Source organism: Homo sapiens, chromosome 3 (genome assembly GCF_000001405.40).
Source record: "Homo sapiens chromosome 3, GRCh38.p14 Primary Assembly".
NCBI classification, from domain to species: Eukaryota; Metazoa; Chordata; class Mammalia; order Primates; family Hominidae; genus Homo; species Homo sapiens.
The window spans coordinates 161323032-161344443 of NC_000003.12; the positions used below are offsets into that span (position 1 = coordinate 161323032).

At 38.7% G+C, this 21412-nt stretch overlaps 2 pseudogenes; both read right to left on the reverse strand.

The window, feature by feature from the left end:
• Positions 1806-3207, reverse strand: EEF1GP4 (eukaryotic translation elongation factor 1 gamma pseudogene 4; annotated as a pseudogene).
• On the reverse strand, positions 5674-7205 carry PSMC1P7 (proteasome 26S subunit, ATPase 1 pseudogene 7; annotated as a pseudogene).

A 21412-nucleotide genomic window follows, 5' to 3' on the forward strand; every position in this document is an offset into this window, starting at 1 on the left:
TATTTGTTACAGACATTCATTTGTTGAGGAAAGAACTCATGTAGTTTATTTGATCACATAATGAGAGCTTTGTACTACTTTCTGTTTTCCCTGGCTTGCCAAAAAAGTTCAAGCCAAATTTTATGCTCTGTGACAATAGCTATCTTATCCTAACTCTAAAAGATATTTTTAACTTTTGTTTTTATTTTAATTAAGCTAACTACATGTTTTCATCTAAATGATCTTAAATGCATTTTGGAACTATAAGGAATATAAATTATAAATAAATACACTTAGCAAATTTTGGCTCATCTCTATGTTGAAGGAAGATCCAATCAATGCCTCTCACCACGATGAAACATTAAGAAACATCAAGCAGTAATAACTGTTAGATAAACAGGCAAAGGTATTATGTGTTATGCTTATGAATAGAAAAGGCAAATAGAGATTACTCAAAGAGTAGACTGGAGATTTATAAACTGTAAACAGACACATTTACATGGCTAGAGTTGCTGAGATGATATTATGCAGTGAGGAGAATCATGTGTTGAAAACATTCGTTTTACTGTTAGTTATGTATTGGTTGTTTTGCTACTTAGGAGAAAGACAAAAGGATCCTCAGAGGAGAAGGAGATTATAAACCTGGTGAGACAGCTGCGTAGTGGCCCAGTTATGAGAAAAGCAGAGGTCAGATGCAGGTACCAAGGTCAGGCAACAGAATCCAAAAGGTACACTTCTATCACTATGAGAGAAAAAGAGTATTAGATTTGAGATTGGAGAATCTCAATGATCCAAGGAAATTATCAGTTGCTTTGGATAGTTACAGTGACATAAATCCATAAGAATATTATTTTGTGAAGTAAGGAGCATATTCGTTGTCAAATTACTCTTGGTTTTGCTACAGGCTTACCAAAAGGCTGAAGGCTAGAGTGAAATGGGAAGACAGAAAACAACAGGAGGGAAAAGGAAAATCAGAAGGCATGATGACAAGGCAGAGCTTTATTTATTAAAGTTATACTTTGGAAAATTTGAGAAAGTAAAGGAGTTGATCATTTTCCTGAACTGTAAACAGACCATTACTTACAAAGTAAACAGCACTTTCTAGATGAAAACAAACTACTGAAAGAATGAACAAAGAAGCAGTCATTTCACCATCAAGTGAGTCAATATTTGCTTTTTATGGTAACCAGAAATATCTGGGTTTGTTTTTTAATCTTAATGGTATAAATTTTAATGACAAAGATTATTTAGCCTTTAGTAAAAAATTGGAAATTCCTACAGTGAAGTTTGCTCTTAGAAATGGACTCCAGTTTTAGAATGAAAAGTGCCCTAACTTAAGACTTATTTGTTTGTCAAGGTTGATGAGACTATCTAGACATTGTGAAGTGGAAAAGGAATATGCCCACAGAGAAGGCTGGCATCTGCACTGGGAAAGGAAACTTAGAGGCAGTTGCTGGGCTTGGCCTGTGGTAAGGGTTCTTGTCCTTGACACCTGCTCTCAGAGGTCAAAAAACTTTTAGCCTTCCTGAGGCCATTTGGGGAGTCTGAAACTTCCAAATTCATTATTAATATTGAATTGTGAGATTTCACATAAAAATCCACATTTCTGATTTCTTTTAAAAAATCAAATAACATTCCAGCATAGCAACTATCAATAGGAACTGAATAGAAGCTGCTCATTTGGGACAGAGCCAGGTCATGATTGTCCCTTCCCTAACCCCACTATTTTTGTCAGACATGGAGGCTGAGTTGCCATCTATCAAAATGATTGCACAGCTGTTTGTTTTATTATAGAATTAATAAAATATTGAAGCATTTCTTTTTTCTCAATGTTCAGTTTTCTTTAATGACCCTCATCTCCCTGAAACAAAGGTTCAGGTAGCTGGGTGATGGCAAGAGATGTTCACTTGACGATTTTGCCCTGATTGAAGGCTTTGCCCACATGCTGGAAGGCTCTATCCCAGGAAAAGTACTCTTGAACCTGCATCTGGGTCTCATCACTGCCAGGATCCAGTTTCTGCTACGTGTATGACTTGTAGTCCACCTGCCAATCTGGACTCAGGGGAAAGGCAAGCTCCTGGCCTCTGAAGACCCAGATTCCAGAAATGGAGCTACTATTGTTGGTTCCAAAGAGGATGACACGGCAAAGGTGTTCTTCCTCAGCTTGTCTAGTCACTGGAACATTTCAGTGATGAGGTTGCAGCTCATGAAGGTCTGAGTGAGCTCTTCAGGGAAGTGATACTCAGAGAACCATAGGGACCAGCCATCCTTAACAGAGTGCTTCCAAAAATATGGCAGTGACACAGTGTGTCCTCACTGGAGCACTTGGGTGTAAATTCACCCAACACAAAAGTACCCTTGGGCAGCTGAGCAAAGAGGCCCTTGGCCTTGGGCTCAGCAGCCGGTGCCTGCTCACATTCATCCATCTCCTCCTCAGAAGCAAGGGAAGCCACACTTTTTCCTCTTTCTGTTCAGCCTGAGGCGTCTGCTTCTCTTTTAACGAACCTTTCCCTTTCCATGGGTGTCGTTTTTAGTCGGGCTCTCTGTAGAATTTTTAGCATCAAACTGGGCCATCTTCTCACACAGTTTCACTTATTCCAAGACAGCCCGCAACTGGGTCTGGTTAATGCAGATGAGGAGCCAAGGGTTGATACTGAGAAAGGCTTGGTGGAAAGAAGGCTCCAGCACCTGCTTATAGAGCCATAACAAGGTGCAGACAACTGTGATGTCAGCCAGTTACTCATTCACCCACCAGAAAAGTCCTCATCTTCAAGTGAGCATCCAGCAGCTCCAGAATTCACCTCATGTCCTCTTTTGCATTCTTAGTGGCCTATTTGTTGTGGTGCACGATGCCCAAGGTAGGGAACAACCAAGTACTGGCTAAGGGCACTATGTTGTTATCAGCAAAGCCTATCCACTGCACCACCTGGGCTTCTGCTTCTGGAGTACTTTCCTGCAGCTCCTCATTGCTCACACAGTAGGTAATGACATTACTCTTAAACACACAGGCTCCACTGTCACCATCAAATGCTGGAATCTTGCCAGCAGGAAATTTGAAAAGAAATTTAGGTTTGTGATTGGTTTGGCCAAAGTGGAAGTGGGGATGGTGCAGAGAGCATGCAGACCTGAGCCCTGCTGTATTGAGCAGTGATGAGGGCTTTGAAGGCCCTCCAGTTTTCAGCATATGTGTACAGGATCTAAGCCATCATGGTGATTCTTCAGAGAAAGAGAAGGGAAGAAAAACAAATCAAGAATGCATTTGGCTGCAAGTAACAGAAAAGCTGACCAACATGACTTAAACATGAAGGGTTTATTTTTCTCATATTACCAAACCTATGCAATTACTGGCAATTGGTTTAGCTACACAACTGCACCCAAGGGTCTAGACTCTTGCTTTACTTTCTGCTAAGCATCCTTCACAAGCTGGCTTTTGTCTTTGTGGCTATCTCCTCACAAGTACAAAATGGCGTTTGCATCTCCAGATAATTTGTCCACTTCAAAGCAGGAAGAAGGGGAAATGATCAAGGGCCAAACCAATTGTATGTCCCTTCTACAGAGAAATTTAAAATTCCTCAAGTCAGCAGCATGTTCTGCCTACATCTTATTGGTCAGAACTGGGTTACATGGCTAGAAACAAAGGAAACTGAGAAATAAGAAAATGTGAGTAAAAATTTTGGCATGGAGCTGGTTCTAGGCACATTGCCACCATAAAAAGCTCAGAGTTTCACTGAAAAAAAAATAGAAAGAAAGAAAATAAGACTATCTCTTGAGGTAGGAAATATTTTATTTAAGCCTCAGGGGTGATCTGTACCCATGGATGAAATTATAGATACAAAAACTAAGCTGGGGATCTTAAACCCAAAGTCCACAAGGGGATAAATGACTAAAACAGGCAAGTGACTTGTGTACATCTATATCTTCTCTGCATAATTATTTCTAAGATACTCTTCACAAGAAATATGACTTTTCCAATTGTTCTGGAATCATGTGGCATCTTGGTCCATTTTTATCACACTTGTGTATTTTGCATATCAGTCTCCTGTCAGATGATGGTTTGCAAATATTTTCTCCCATTCTATAGGTTGTCTCATCACTCCATTTACTGTTTCCTTTGCTATGCAGGAGCTTTCTAATTTAATAAAGTTCAATTTGTCTATTTTTGTTTTCATTGTCTGTGCTTTTGGAGTCTTAGCTGTCAAGTCTTTGCCTAGGCCAGTGCCCTGAACAGTTTCCCTTTGTTTTTTTCCAGTAAGTTTATAGTTTGGGGTCTTATATTTAAGTGTTTAGTCCAATTTTTTTGTACATGGTGAGAGACAGGGGTCCAGTTTCATTCTTCTGCATATGGTTATCTAGTTTTCCTAGCACCACTTATTGAAGAGATTGTACTTTCCCCAGTGTATGTTATTAATGGCTTTGTCAAAGATCAGTTGGCTTTGAATACGTAGATTTATTTCTGGGTTGTCTATTCTGTTCCATTGGTCTATGTACCTATTTTTATACCAATACTAAGCTATTTGGGTTACTCTACCCTTGTAATATATTTTGAAGTCAGATAGTGTGGTGCCTTTAGCTTTGTTCTTTTTGCTCAGGGTTGCTTTGACTATTCAGGCTCTTTCATTGTTCCACAAGAATTTTAGGACTGCTTTTCCTATTTCTGAGAAAAATGGCATGGGTATTTTGATAGGGATTGTATGGAATCTGCAGATTGTTTTGGATAGTAGAAAAAAATTTTAATGTGTAGATTTTATTGAAAATATTTATATTCAAAATAGTTTGGATTCTAAACACTTAGATTTTACCTGATTAAAATCAGAAGTATTGATCTTATTGTTAGAAGAAGCTTTGGTTATCTTAACAGACAGTTTCTACATAAACAATTATTTGATTATACAAAATATCAAATGTAAATAGAAATAGACCAAGAAACAATAGACCTAAATAATTATTTAACCAGTAGCAATCATTTGGATCACCTTTTAAAGGAATTTTTGGATACATGAAAAATGGAAAGATATTGTAATAAGATAACGCAGCACACAAAGGCATTTGATCCTATTTCATCACTGTTACTACACTTCTATTTTTCAGTAGTGGTGGACCCTCATTATTGCCCATCAATCATTCAGTTTATTATGTAAACCATAATGCAGGACCTTGTATTCTGCAGACAGCACAGGTCTTAGAATGCCAACATCTGTCATGGGCTGTAAGACACAAGATTTAAATGTTTATTTCATTCACTACTTTAGACTTTTCTCTTTTTTTAAGTTCTAAGATGGACCAAGTTATCCTGTTGTTTTTTCTCTTCAAGAGGAATAGACAAGCATTTAAGGCAGCAAGTACTGCAACTGGCTGCTTGGAAAGGCAACAACCAAGGAAGGGCAACAAGGAAAGCCATAGTGACATTGTGCTCCAGAGGCTGAAAGTGCTTAGGATAGGCAAGGCAGCACTTTCCCTTTTCCCTTTGCAGGCCATGTTCTCTAGCGCGTTGCCTCAGTGCCCTTGCTAATAGCAGACATTGCTGCTCCCAGCCCAGCATTTGCAGCCTCAGTTTTAGCTGGCTTGGCCATGCTGTTTCCTGTGGTTGTGGTTTGTTAATTTTCACTGCTGTATATCGTTCCATTATGCAAACCTGCCACAATTCATCAATATTACTGTTAATGGATTTTTCTTTTTTCTTTATTTTTTTTTTGATGAAAGAGCATGCTTTATTGGAAAGCAGAGTGCTGCACAGTGACCAAGAGATGAAGGCCGCCCAATGAGCATTTACACATTTTACTCCAAAATACACACAAAACGTCTTACCAACAAAAATAAACTGGAACAGGAGTTCCTTTGGGCAACTCCCCAGCCTCATCCCTTTCAGGGATTGGAAAATCTCCCAACCATTTTCCTGATGGCAGCTGTGGTTCACTAGAGATAGAGCCCCTTGGGAGTGCCTTCCTGTTTTTTGCAAAGAACATTTTCTTTATATTTTTTGAAGTCTTCATTTGTTACCTTCATTCTGTGGCTCTCTTAAGGCCATCAGGCAAGCTTCTGTGCAGATTGCCTTGATGTCAGCACCAAAGAGGTCATCTTTAGTCATTATCAAGTCGTCCAGGTTTACATCATCGGCCAGTGTCATCATGCTTGTATGCATCTGAAAGATGCTCTTCTTAGTATTTTCATTAGGGAGGGGAATCCCGATCTTCCTGTCAGTGCAGCCTGGTCTGCTAAGTGCTGGATCCAAATTTCTGTTTGGTTTGCGGCCATGATAACTTTCACATCTCCCCTAGAATCAAATCCATCCAACTGGTTCCACAGTTCCAACATTGTTCGCTGAATTGCTATCTCACCACCAGAATTTGAGTCATATCTTTTTGTCCCAGTGACATTAATATCATCAATAAACACAGTGGATGGTGCGTGTTCTTCAGCAACTTGAAACAATTCCAGTATGAGTTTGAGCCCATCACCCAGGTACTTCTGAATAAGTTCAGAGCCAGCCACTCTCAAGAAAGTGGCTGAGGTTTGGTTTGCTACCGCTTTGGCTACAAGGTTCTACCTGTGCCAGGTGGACCATAGAGAATGACCCCCCACCCCGTAGGAGGCTTTACACCCGTCTCTTCATAATATTCATGTTGGGTGAGAGGAGGCTTCACAGATTCCTTAATTTCCTGAATTTGGTTATCCAACTTTTCCCCCAGTATCAGCATAGGTCTCCTGGGGAGTCTTTTCCACCTTCATCACTGTGAATAGGGGATCCGTGTCATCCATCAGCACCCCTATCACTGCATGCACCTTGTGGCTGAGCAGAACCGAGCAGCCAGGTTCCAGCAGATCCTTGTCTACAAATGAAAGAATGCTGATGTAGTGTTCTGAGCCCACAGATGTAGAATAATGGCATGATTGTGATCTCTTCCAAGGTTCCTACTGCTATTGGGGTCCCCCCTCAGATCATCCACTTTTAATCTTTTCTGTTGCTTTTCTTCTAATGGTTTCATTTATTTCTGATTTCTAATGAATTCTTCCTCCATGAGAAGACAGTCTTCAATTCTCTCTAACTTCAGTAATTTTCATCAGCACTGAGTGTGAGATGTCACCAGTGGCAGTTTGCTGGCAGCATCTGGTCCCTTTGTTTTCTTCTTCTCCACTCTAGTTGGTACAGGAGGTTCATATTTATTTTTCTTGTCCTTCCATTCTTCTTGCAAACTCCAGGACCATAACCCCCACTCTGACTTTCACCCATCTTGCCTTGGCCAATTGAGCTGCCAATTCTTTCTTAATGTCTGTCTTTTCATTAGGCTGTGGCTTCACAAGGTGTTCGTTAGGTTTTTTGTTTTTTTTTTTTTTTTTTTGGATGAATGGATACTGAATAGATGGTGTAATGTCATGGTGATATGAGATAATCCTGGAAAAGGTTAGTTGGGGCCATACTGCAGAGAAATGCAAAGTCTGGTGAGAAGTTTGCACTAATTTGTTAGACAATGAAGCTTCAGAGTGGAGTGATCAAAAGCACAGACTAGGAGCCAGACTATCTATGTGGGTTCCACTGCCGGTCCTACCACTTACTAGCTGTGTAACCTTGGGGTTACTTACCTAACATATCTGTGTCTCAGTTTCCTTACCTGAAAAAGAATGGATTTCATAGGAGGATTGTGAAGATTAAATGAATTCATATTTATAAATTGCTTAGACCAGTACCCAGCACAAGGTAAGTTCTACGGCAGTGATTATTAAATAAAATGGGTATCCATCACAGGTTTTTGAACAGGGAAGTGGCATTTTTTGGAGCAGAATGAGAGGCTGTAATAAAGGCAGGGGCAGTGGTCCAGGCTACAGCTACTGTTATGGTCAGAAGGCTGATTCTCACTGACCTCTGTTGCCTGTATAAGACATACTTATGAGCAACTCACAAGCAGAAAATAACTTGACAATAGGGATTGAGAAAATTACATTTTCAAAAATTTTATCCTTTACCTTTGCAGACAAATTCTGAGTGGGTGGGCAGTTTGGAATTGCAACCTCTAATTAGAAAACTTTCATCTTTTATATCCACCAGTGAATGAACTGTAGTTACCACAGTGGTGGAATTTCAGACCAGCAGGAGAGGGACTTTTTCCATCCCACTGAAATGGCACAACATAAGTTTCTCCCTATGGTGCCTAAGCATGAGGTTGATTTATTGAAATTTGCAGAAATTTCCACTGGAAGTTGCCTGCAGTGAAGTTGTCTCTGTAGAGCTGGGTCATCTCACTGAAGCCACACTATGGAACAGTGAATATGTGGGAGTTTAGGAAGAAACAGATGCTACATTCCAACTGGGCACTTTGAAACATTTAAGAAAAGGATCACTTGCTGACTAGGGAAAACAACAAGGAATGATGCAGAACCCTGAAGCTAGCAACCCTGGGGAAGCCTGATCATCTTAGGTCTGAATTGCATGCTTAATCTTACTTAATCCTCACATTATCTCCATAGCTATTATTACTAATACTTCTCAGATAAGGAAAACTGAGGCTTTAAGAAGTTAAGTGAGTTGCCCAAGGTCTCACAGCTCGTAAGAATCACCTGAATCAATTTTAGTGTTAGGTTTTCTGAAGCTAAAGTCCATGCTCTTTTCGCCACTTGAGTAATCTACTGACCTTTTATTTATGCAATAACTTTATATTTTACTCAATTAGGTGAGTATACTTGTATAAAATTCAAACATTACAGAAATTATAGAGTAAAATTATGGAGTAAAAAGTTCAGTTCAGTTCTTCTGACCTCTGTCCCTCAAACCACTTTTTTTCTCAGAAGTTATCATTATTGACAGTGGGACGTGGCTTCTTCCAGATACTTTTTCCCCTGTGCATTTACAAACTTAGCACATATATGACTATTTTTACAGAAAAGGTAAACTGAAGCTTAAAGAAGTTAAAGTGACTTGCCCATGGTCTGTTTCTGCTGGATATCCACTGTAAATAGGGTCATTTTGTTAATAATTTCCTTTAACTTCTTATTACTTTGTGCTTTTTTTTCCTTTTACTTTGGACACTTCCCTCCCAGAGTGATTTGAATTATTTCATTATACTGTGGCTTAAATTATACAGATATATATCTACATATCTATAGATAAATATCTAAATATATATTTAGGTATTAAACTTCCTGGTGTCTTTATCATTATACATAACTACAAAACCTGAATAAAGTTAAGAAACAACATAATTTAAAAATTAAAGTTGGCCGGGCGCGGTGGCTCACGCCTGTAATCCCAGCACTTTGGGAGGCCGAGACGGGCGGATCACGAGGTCAGGAGATCGAGACCATCCTGGCTAACACGGTGAAACCCCATCTCTACTAAAAATACAAAAATTAGCCGGGCATGGTGGCGCGCGCCTGTAGTCCCAGCTACACGGGAGGCTGAGGCAGGAGAATGGCGTGAACCCGGGAGGCGGAGCTTGCAGTGAGTCGAGATCGCGCCACTGCACTCCAGCCTGGGCGACAGAGCGAAACTCCGTCTCAAAAAAAAAAAAAAAAAAATTAAAGTTAAATCATCAATGTTAATGCAATGCAATTTAATGTAATTGAAATAAAACTGCCAATGTTTGGGTTAATTATAGGAAGACATTTTATTCACTTGTTGACTTTTGATTTTGAGCATGATAGTCCATTTTTATCTTTTTTCTTTTTTTGCTTTTAAACAATAAATACATACTCTCATTTTATCCTATGGCCAGTCAAAAGGCAATAAAGCAATGTAATAGTGCATGCCCAAACAATACTGAAACATTTTTAAAGGACCATTTACCAAAAATATTTTTCATGTATTTCTACAACTGTAAGTTCTGGTGATGAACTTTTGCAATCTGATCAGTACAGAGGTAGATATACACAAAGAATCCACATTTCCCACATTTCCCAAATGGTACTAACTACCATACCACTGTATCAGAATTACTGTGTATAAGATGACTCAGTTCTCTCACAAATTATTCCTTGTTTGAACTATTGGTAAACTTTTGTTTGCATAGTATAAAATGAGGCAATCTGGCCTCCAGTGGACGTTGGTGCCTTGTTTCCATTCTGAGTCCACCTCAATTTCTTCCTCATTAGCTGCCCCAGTTGGTATATATTACTGCCCCTTGTCATTTTCATGACACCATTTGTAAACCTCAGTTTATTCAGTAACTTAAAAAACTAAAGTTTCAGTCCATGAAGATGTCTTGTAATTCTATCCCCAGGAAAAAAATTTTTCCTTCTGAAAAATTGCAAAAGGAAGAAAGTATACTATTATGGAACTTGTGATCATTCATAGAGAGTTGTGCTCAAGTTCACCTTTGTCCTGTAAAAAAGAAAGATTTGCTAAACAATTAATAGAGGAAAGGTCATAACATCTTTATGCAAAACATTCCCATTTACAGAGAAGTGTGTAAATGGGAAAATCTCAAGCTTTGTCATATAATTGGTTAAAATAAATTACAAGTACAATAGCAGATACAGAATGTTGTCATTTAGATACTAGGTTGTGCAGGCTCAGATACATTCAGTTACGCGTGTTAATACATAGAAATGAAATACTATTCCTTCATAGGATCACTTGGTTATAACCTGACTAAAAATAGCAGTACAAAATGCAGGGATTGCATTTTGTGGGTATTAAGTGGTCATTTAGACTGACGCAGAATATGCCTATCTTTTTAAAAGAGTATCAATCATATAAGAATAAAAAATTAAAATAATCTCAAGGTATTTGTGATACAGTCACCCACCCCCACCCCAACCACAGCTCTGGATAAGTGAGAAGTTCCCAGTTTGAGAATTGCTGTGCACTGTGTCCTACTTCCCTGCGTGGGGCACAGAGGCCATAGGCTCGGGGGTGGGAGGAGAACTCTGCTGAAGGGAGTGAACACAGACTTACCTTCAAACTCTTACAGGGTTCTGTCTGCTGCTGGCAAGGAAGTTGGCCAAGTTAAGAATGGGATGCTGTGGTCTGTGTGGTTTTATATCTCCCCAGTGCCCAGGCCAGGGAGATATTTCTCCATTTTGCAGACAGGCTTAGACTAAATTATTTCTGTGGATGTCCAGACTCTGCTGGATTGATGTCAGCCTTCCATGTTACCCATCTCCTAGTTTGTACTATGGCTTGAAGCCCCTCTTTCCTGTCCTAAGATATACTTACTCACTATGAAAGAGAAGAGAAAAAGCCATAATGGAGGTTCTATGGCATGTAATGTCCTCATGAATCTATTACCCTGGTGCATAATACATTTATTATTCTAATTGGCATAAGTACCAGAAGTGTGTTTCTGGATCTTTCCTTGGGATTCAACATGGGTATCCACTCAAAGGAAAGTGTTCCCTTAAGATACTTCATTTCCAAAGTAACTGGTAGTTAAGACAAAGACAGAGTTCCTTTTTTCTTTTTTTTTCCCTCCTTCCTTCCCTTCTTTAGTTCCTCTTCTTCCTCTTTCTCCTTTTTTCTGTCAGGTATCCTTTAAGCAGAGCTGTGACTGGACAGGGATCCCCAGACCCCCAGGACTGTACTCCTCACACCAGACACCTGCTGAGAAACATAAATTAACAATATATTGAGAGTAGAATGATAGTTATCAGAGGCTGGGAAGAGTAGTAGGGCAGGGGTAGGGGGTGGGATCTGGAGAGAAGTGGGGATGGTTAATGTGTACAAAAATACAGTTAGATAGAATGAATAAAATGTAGTATTCCATAGCACAGCAGGGTGACCAAAGTCAACAATAATTTATTGTAGATTTTAAAATAACTATAAGAGTATAATTGGAATGTTTATAACACAAAGAAATAATAAATGCTTGAGGTGATAGATACCCCATTTGCCCTGATGTGATTGTTATGCATTGTATGCCTGTATCAAAATACCTCATGTACCCCATAAATATTTACACTTACTATGTACCCATAAAAATAAAATAAAACCCAATATATTAAGAAACACAGCCTTACAGAAGAATTCCAATTAATAAATGTAAAATTAAAGAGGGGAAATAAAAAGCCATCACTGGGGAAATACCACAGTAATAACTGTTGCAGACAAGATCCAGTGACAGATAAAATTAGTGGGCAAAAGTTTGAGGAGAAGTAGGATATCAGCATCATCTCAAAATATCTCTCCCAAAGCACTTATCCCTTATAAAGGGAAGAATAATACATTTGCAATGGAGAAACCCAACAACACCACAGTAATCAAGTGGTCAAGATTAATGTCACTGGTACTGAGACATATCAACATTACATACCTGCTGATAGTGTGCACTGGGAAAGACACAGTATCATTTTTGCCATAATCTTTCCAAAAAGGCATAAAGCCTCTATTTAATCATGAGAAAACATTAGATAAACCCAAATTGAGGGCCAGTCTACAAAATACCTGACGAGCCCTCATTAAAAGTGTCAAGGTCACAAAAGACAAGGAAAGACTGAGAACTGTCACAGATTGGAGCAGACCAGGGAGACAATCAAATGCGATGTGGGATTCTGAATTGATTCTTGAATAGAAAAAGGACATTCAGGGAAAAACTGAAGAAATTCAAATAAGAGCTGTAGTTCAGTCAATGGTGTTGTAACAATATTAATTTCCTGGTTTTGATAATATACTATGGTTATACAACATGTTATTAAAAATATTAGAAGAAGCTGGGTGAAAGGTATATGGAAAGTCTCTTTTTTTTTCAACTTTTTGGCAAATGTAAAATTATTTCAAAATAAAAATGTAAATAAATAAAAGAAACACTTAGGACTAGAATGGTCATAATAAGTTTCCTGTGTAAGAAATTATTTGATCTCAGCCTTGAATTGTGGGCAGAATTCCATAGGTGGAATTCCAGATAGGGAAGCTCCCAGATAGGGAAGGAACAAATCACCACTTGATTGATCAATGGCAAGAACACAGTGGGCCATGGATATTGATGTGAGGTTGGATTTGTAGTGGGAAGAGAGAAAACTGGATTGTGAGGATTCCTGAAAACCTGGTCAAGAATATTAGACTACAAGCCTGCAGCAGATAAGAGAGAGTCTTTATACATCTGAGAATGGGAAGGCTGTTGTGATCATCTGGATGGGACCGGAGGCCTTGCTAAGTTTGTGTGTTGACAGTGAGGAAGGAGAATGAATATGACATGAAATATTATAGGAAATGTTCAAGATTTGACGAATATAAGGGAAATGAAGAAGAGTCAAAGAGGACTTGATTTTAAGCTCAGACAGGTGGATGGTGGTATCATTCACAGTAAGAAATTCGGGAGGCAAGAAAATCTGGGGTGAGGGGAAAGGATATCATATAGGTGTGAAGTTTGAGATATTGCAAGAGATTCAAATGAAAATGTTTTAGTAATAGTTCTAAGGACATCTCTTTCTTTATTTGTTTAGCAGACATTTATTCCCTACTTTGTGCTAGGACTCATGCTAGGTGCTGGAGATAAAAAATCCCATGATGTGGCTCTTACCCTAAATGAGCCGGGGAGGAGACAGACACTGTATGGAGGGTTGCATACAGGCTGGGATTACAGGGAGTATGACAAGCTTTAAGAATTTTCCCAGTCTTGGGAATATGGGACTACAGGTCAGGCAAATACAGAAGATACGAAAACTTAGGAGTCATTAGCCAAAAATGGTAGTGGAAGCCTTGTATGGCTAAGTTAAAATTTAATAGAAGAAGAAAGGCAAAAGTTCAAGAGGTAGTCCTGCTGAGACTCACCCCGAGAGAATAGGAGAAAGTCAAAAGTCACTCGCAGAAAGGAAGAAAGTGTTGGAAAAGTTGCAACAGAATCTGTAGTCATGGAACCACAGACATGGAAGAGAGTTTCAAGGAAGTGGGAGTTTGCCAGTTGTTTGGATTTTGAGGGGATCAGTTCAGTGGAGTGGAAAGGTCAAGAATTGTAGAGAAACTAGAGAGGAAATGAAAGCATGGAGTACTCATTTGAAAAGTATAGTAATGAAAGAAAGCCAAGAGGTAGGAAGGTTCCTGGAGGGGGCACCAAGAGTGTGTGAAGTAGAATCTTCTCCACTCATTCACTCAATTCAACAAATACTGATTTCAGTTGCCAGGCACTGTGATGGGTATTTCATGTATATTTCTCAGTTAGTCCTCACAACTTTTTGAGTGGGTATTATCTCTTTAGCGAACTTTTTTTGGGGAGTCTACTTGGCACCAGAGAGTATTTCAGTTGATGAGGACACAATAATGGACAAAAATAGGCAATCCCTGACGTCTTGTCACTATTGACATTAAGCAAATTATGTCACACGTCATGAAAAATTGCAAAAGGAAGAAAATATACTATTATGGAACTTGTGATCATTCATAGAGGGTTGTGCTCAAGTTCACCTTTGTCCTGCAAAAAAGAAAGCTTTGCTAAACAAATTAATAGAGGAAAGGTCATAACATCTTTATGCAAAACATTCCCATTTACAGAGAAGTGTGTAAATGGGAACTGTGGGTTTGCTATAACTCTTAGGGCCATTCTAATTGTGGGCACTGACTTTAGGTGACTTCAGATAGAAACTTGTTCTGCTATTCTCTTGAGTCTTTCAACTCAGAAATGAACCTTTTCAAAGTCCAGAATGGTTTCAGGAGTGTGCTCTGAGGGTGGTGGAGCTGGTATTTAGCATTGAACCTGGGAAACAGGGTTAGGTTGTCCAAATGCCTCCTCCACCCTAAACCCCAAGGGCAGACAAGAATTTGGAATCTGCAGATTCTCCTTATCTGGGGTGGAAACCATGGAGTTTCCAGGCAACATTCTCAATGCAGACTTTGGAGTTTCTCACTTGGTCTTGAGACCCTATTTCTGTTCTCTGAAGCTCCTGATCATTTTCCTTTTTGCCCAGGCCCTGATCTCTGTTTTTAACTTAGTCTGATAAATTGAAATAATCTCTGATCTGTTTCTTTTTTCTAAGTTGGTTTCTTGGAAGGGTAAGGCTTTCATAATTCTGATAAGTTTTACCACTTTTTTCCCTGCCCCTCATTTGGGAGGCAGGTAACTTCAAATTTCCAGGCTATATGATTGTCTTTAGAGCAGAGTAATTTTTGAGCTTGGTTTGAGCATCTTATTACAGGAATTAATTAACTCAAAGTCATTCTGGTGCACCTTTCCAGAAATGAGAAGCAGTCATGTCCTCCCTGACATTTGTTTTCTGAGCTCCTGTGTTTTCAGGTCTTATAGGTAAATGTGTCTTACAAGGCTAGTATCTTTGCATGACTATAATACAAAGTCACCATAATGGTTAACTTAAACAATTACTCATCATTACAACAAATTTGAAAAATGTAAAATTAAATAAAAGGCAAGATTATAAAAAAATACTATTCCAATATGGTCCCTTTTTATTCTGTCTGGTCACTGTACTTTCCTGTTGGTTTAACCACCCATAAACTAGGTCACAGAGTGTGTAAGTAGAGCCATTTTTAATTTGTCTGGACTCACCAAGATGTGGCATCTATTTCTTCACACGCTCATGAAGTTAGTGGATCATTACCTTTGATTTATTGGAAAGTCTGAAGCTCTCGTCTGTAAGAAGGAACTATTTCTCTTACTCTTTTGCCCTGAATTATTTTCTCCTTCCCTAATCAAGAATTTTATCAAATTTTTCTTTACTTTTCTAACTACTCAAGAACATCACCTAGAAGTGATAATATTAAGACTTTCATATGAAAAGCAAGTTAGTCTAATTATAATAGCACTGAACTGCATTTTTATATATAATGTGAGGTTTTCTTTGAGTTTTGGGGAGGGATGGTTAACTCTGTTTACTGAAAGATATATTTAGAGGTCCAAGTAATATAACCAATTGGCAAGGGAGAATATATTAGAGAATAAACTGATTTTAATTGCTAATTTTAATGTGGCTAATTGCTGTTCATCCTCTAAGATGTAACTCAGGCATCGCTTCATGTAGGAAGAATTCTCTGAATTTCCTCATCCCCATCCAAAAGCACTAGGTAGGCAAACCAGGATCTACGGTCATCCTATATAATGCTCTGTCTAAATCTCAAAGTGCTTACCACATTGATTGATGTCCTATAATCACACAGAATCAGTGAATGATAGAATGCAGAAAAAGGTGTGGTATAGTGATGGTTTATGTGGACATGTAGAAGGTGCCATTCCTTCCAATGGTTAAACACTTCACCTCTGCAGCCTCAGTTCAAATCTCAGCTCCCTTACTAACTGTGTAACCTTGAGCAAGTCACTTAAACAATCTGTGCCTCAGCTTTCCCCATCTGTAGAATGAGGATAATGATATCTATTTAACAGGATTGTTGAGAGAGTTAAATGAATTACATATGCAAAATGCTTAGAAGAGCACCTGATGCATAGTATACGTGCCGTATAAATATTAGCTATTTATTGTTATGGCATGTAGTTGGCCTAATAGAAGAGGTAGAATTTGAACTGAAGTTGAAGAATAAGTGTATCTGAGTATATAGAGACAAGCTGCCAGTATGTGTGTACACATTTCTATGTGGCTGTAAAGATTAGCAGTTACAGTGTTGTAAGTAGGTGTTTTCATTTTATGTCTACAGGTTTCCAGCCACTGCACTGGGTTAGGAAAGTAATTCTACAGTTTTTGACCCAGCAGAACTTAGAGTCCACTTCCCTTCTACTGATCTCATGATAGACACTGATATGTTCATAATGGCATTCTTTCCAACGAGCAGGTATAGCTTCAAAGTTCTTCACAACATGACCTTCTAGGGTGGCCCTGCCAGTGATCACAAGAGCCGATAAGAGAAAAACACACACACTATTCCCAGAGGAGTCATTCTTTTCACAGCAGAGAAACTGGATCCCAGAGAAGTGAAGTCACTTGTCCAAGGCCACACACAGGCAGCCAGAGCAAGAAGAACTGGGGTCACTCTACCCTCTGAGGGGTGATTATCTTTCCATCGTCCATATCACTTGTTTATCTCAGTTTCTAACTAAAATTTTCTGCCACAAATATTTGCAAACTATTCATCTGACAAAAGTCTAATATGTAGAATCTCTAAGGAACTTAAACAACTCAACAAGAAAAAAAAAACCCATTAACAAGGGGGCAAATGACATGAACAGACATTTCTCAAAAGAAGACCTACAAGTGACCAACAAAAATATGAAAAAATGCTCATCATCACTAATCATCAGAGAAATGCAGATTAAAACCACAGTGAGATACCATCTCACACCAATTGGAATGGCTATTATTAAAAACTCAAAAAATGACAGATGTTGGTCAGGATAAGGAGAAAAGAGAATGTTTACACATTGTTGGTGGGAATGTAAATGAGTTCAGTCTCTGTGGAATAGATTGGAGTATTCTCAAAGACCTAAAAATAGAACTGCCATTTGATCCAGCAATCCCATTACTGGGTATGTACCCGAAGGAAAATGAATCATTCTACCAAAAAGACACATGCACTCATGTATTTATTGCAGCACCATTCACAATGGCAAAGTTATAGAATCAACCTAGATACCCATCAATGGTGGACTGGATAAAGAAGATGTGGTACCTATGCACCATGGAAAACTACGAAGCCGTAAAAAGTAATGAAATTATGTCCTTTGCAGTAACATGAATGTAGCTGGAGGCCATTATCCTAAATGAATTAATGCAGGAACAGAAAATCAAATATTACATGTTCTCACTTATCTGTGGGAGCTAAACAAGGGGTATACACAGACATAAAGAGAGAAAAAATAGACACAGGAGACTTCAAAAGAAGAGAAGGAGGGAGGGGGGCAAGAGTTGTAAAACTACCTTTTGGGTACTACGTTCACTGTTTGGGTTCAATACAAGCACAAAAAGCACATTATGCAATCTATTCATTATATCCTTATGTCTGTGTAACCAACCTGCATATGTACCCCCTAAATCTTAAACAAACAAACAAACAGCAACAAAAAAAACCCACACCAGTGCTGGAGCCAGGTCTGGGTCCAAATAAGTTTGTTAAAAAAAAGTTCTGCCACCAATTATATTGGTACAGGCTTAGATGGTGGAAGCATATATACGTATACACAAATATATATGTGTATGTATATATGTATGTATATATTAAATTATGTATGTGTGTATAGATATATCACATTGAATACATATAACTGCAAGTAATTAAAAACAAAAGGAAGCAAGGTACATTCATTGATCCATGAGGTGCCCTATTGTGATATTATTGTGAAATGCATAAAGCTTTGCATGCTCTGCAGTAGTGCTGATGGTACTATCTATCTGGCTTAACCAAATTATTGTGACACGATCTTGTACTCAGGTTGCAAATGAAAGCGCTCCACCAAGCTCCTCAGCAGCAGACTGAGTGTCCTTTAGAGCTTCATGCCCATAAGCATAATTTGTGATATTTTACTGCTCTTAAATGATGCATGATGAAATGATTGAAGACATCATTATGTGGAACAAAATGCACTGGGGAGTGTGATGCTAACTATTAAGCACTTCAAGCTTCTATGGGAGTGTTGAGTACTTTTACTGAAAAACAGTAAGGAAGCGCTGTTTGTTATGATCAAGACTGTATCTAGAGAAAGAGCAGTGCCTTAATCATATATAGACATGTTCGGCAAGCCTGGCAAGTGGGAGGGAGTAAGAGGAGTACGCAGCTTGATGCTGGATTTTAGTGATTTAATCAGCATTCACTAAAAGACTGTTAAAGTGGTTCCCAATCTTGGCCAAATATTAGAATTATCTGGGGAATTTTAAAAACTACTATTTGGGCACTCCCTTCTGAGGGTTTCAATTTAGTTTGAAAATTTAGTCAGGGCCAGGCATTGGTAGTTTTTAAAGCTCCCAGACGATTCTAATGTACAGCCAGAGCTGAGAACCAATGGTCTAGTACTTGAGGAGAAAACAGTTGTAGATCTTTACAGATGCATCAATGAACTTTTAAAAAAATGTCCTCCCTTTTTAAAAAATGCTCACATGGGGATTGTTGTGAGAATATAGGAGCAGGAGAGAAGGAATAATGGGTAAAGAGAATACAGGAGAGGGACAAATGTCTCTCAAAACCTTCACCAGATGTTTAAAAACTCACCTTAGGTGAGTGACTTCATAAAAATGCTAGTGACAAATCATGTCTGGAATATGACTCAATGTCTCTACTCTGGAGTTGTAAAAGGGCTTGATTTGTTCATCAATCCATTCGTTTAGTGAGCTTTTATAAGAGTACATGGTGCAAAAAACAATGTGCTGTGTTCTTTGTGCTCTTCAGAAGGAACACCTGCACAATTCTGAGGCAACCAACACCTGAAAGGTACAGAATATGCACATGTGGGTGGTGGACTTCCCTTTTTCCCTCTTTGGAGCCAGGTACTTTCTCTGGCTCAGGTAAATATAACTCAGGACTGGGAGGAAGGTATTGCATTTGCATGGTAAGGTGCGAGAGATAAGCAGGGTTTCAGGGGGTTACATTTTGATAGTGTAAGAGCCAAGGGAAAATGTCCGCTTTGCCCTCTGAAGGTTCACTGAAAAATCAACTGACAAAAGGGAGATTAATAGGAGAAATGGCACACAAATTTATTAATGTGCATGGAGAAGAATGATAGAATGATTACCCCAACACCCCAATGGGGGTACAGATGCTTATATGCCATCTTGAGTTTACAGAAAGAATGGAGGACTTGGATCATGGCCCAAAACAGGTTATGGTGGTAAATCATGCCTCTGTCCCATCCACTCTTACACCATAGCCAGTGCCATCATCTTACAGTATAAATGACATCACATTCCTTGCACATCACCCCCCTGCTTAGTGTCCCTCAATTAGAGACGTTTGAATCCTGCTCTACTGCAGCTGGAAGAGCTATGTTCCCTTTGCCCCAAGGACTTCATCATCCCCAACCACCTGTCGCTGTCTCTCTAGCACACTAGTGTTTTCTTTTTAAACTTTATCACAATTCATAAATATTTTGCTTGCTTGTATTTTTGTTGTTGTTGTCGTTATCTTGCCTACCAGATACTATCATTAATAACTCCAGAGATGTTTCTGCTTCTGTCTCATTCATTTTCATTTTCTAGTACCAAGCCCAAAGACTAGCACATGGTAGGCTTTTATTCCCTATGTATTTTTTTAAAAGTTTCAAACATAATGTTAACAGAATTTGACAATTAATGCCTGTATACCTAGCATCTAGTTTCTATTGTTATGTTTTCCTCATCACATATTTTTTCATTTTTCCATCCTTGTATCTACCCATCAATACATGGTTGACTTTTAATAAATTTATTGAATGAATGAATAAGTGTTACTCTTTTAGTCCATAGTCAGGAGCTGTCCATCTTTTGGTTGGCCTAATACAGACACTGAGCTTCTTTGTTTTTGTGTGGTCACAAGGTAGAAGGAGCTATATAATGTCCTCGTGGGTGGGAATTTGCTAAGCCCTGTATCAGGAGATTCAGAAATAAGGACAAATCTGCCTTCTAGAATCACCCCAGTAAGAGGATCTAAATATATTTGTGATGGAAGAAGAAAAAAATAGGAAATGTGGATGAGTGTTTTTTTTCCACAAACAACTTAATGAAGATTGGTTAGTCCTATCTTGATATTTAAACTGCCTGATATCTTGACATTTTGTGTTTTTTGTTGCACAAGCAGATAAAAGTAACTGTTGACTTGGCCAATACCAGGGAAAGAACATTTTACAATTTCTCGTTCGGTGAGTGACAAATGCAAGCTCACCGGAGCCATGGAACCTTTGGCCTTTCTTGTTTTTAAAGTTCTGTACACATCATTGAAATATCCAAGTAATGGAAGCAAAGGAAAAACACACAAAAAGTGTTTCTAATCTAGGCAAACTGGGGTCAAGGTAAAGAATGTCTCTCTCCATGTCTAGAAAATAAACTTAGCAGGCAGGGAAAGTAATGCTTACTCTTCTTTCCCACTACATGCTGATTGATAGGTTTTTTTTCCCAAACTATTTTTGATTATGTTTTTTGGACCCTGTATTTATTATTTTGACTGCTCAGAAGAAACACCTTCGAAGTGACATCCTGGGGTGGTGCTTTGCAATAATCTTTTATTAAGCTTTGCTGTGTCTATTCATGTTTATTTTAACTCTCTTATTTTTAGATGGAGGATTTTTTGAGAAGGTCAATGCAGTATCTTTGTGATTGAATTCCAGGAGTACTTAGCAGGGGTCCATGTATATAAGGGTGTTGAATCATTATGAACTGGGAATGCATCCAAGTTCATGCTTAACTGAGAATTCTCTTTAAATATTTAGAAGTGAAAGCAATCTTTCAAAATAGTCATGTGGGCCTTGGAAGCATAGAAATGGGTGAACACAGCATCCTAGGTACAGCAGCAAAGGTGACAGCTGGGACCTCAGCTTATCATTCCTCCAACCTTGGCTGTCTCCTAACGCTCTTCCTTCTATTTGATGGAGTTCTACTTTCAAACGTTGGTGACACTCATCCCATCAACTTTCATCTGTTCATTTTGTCC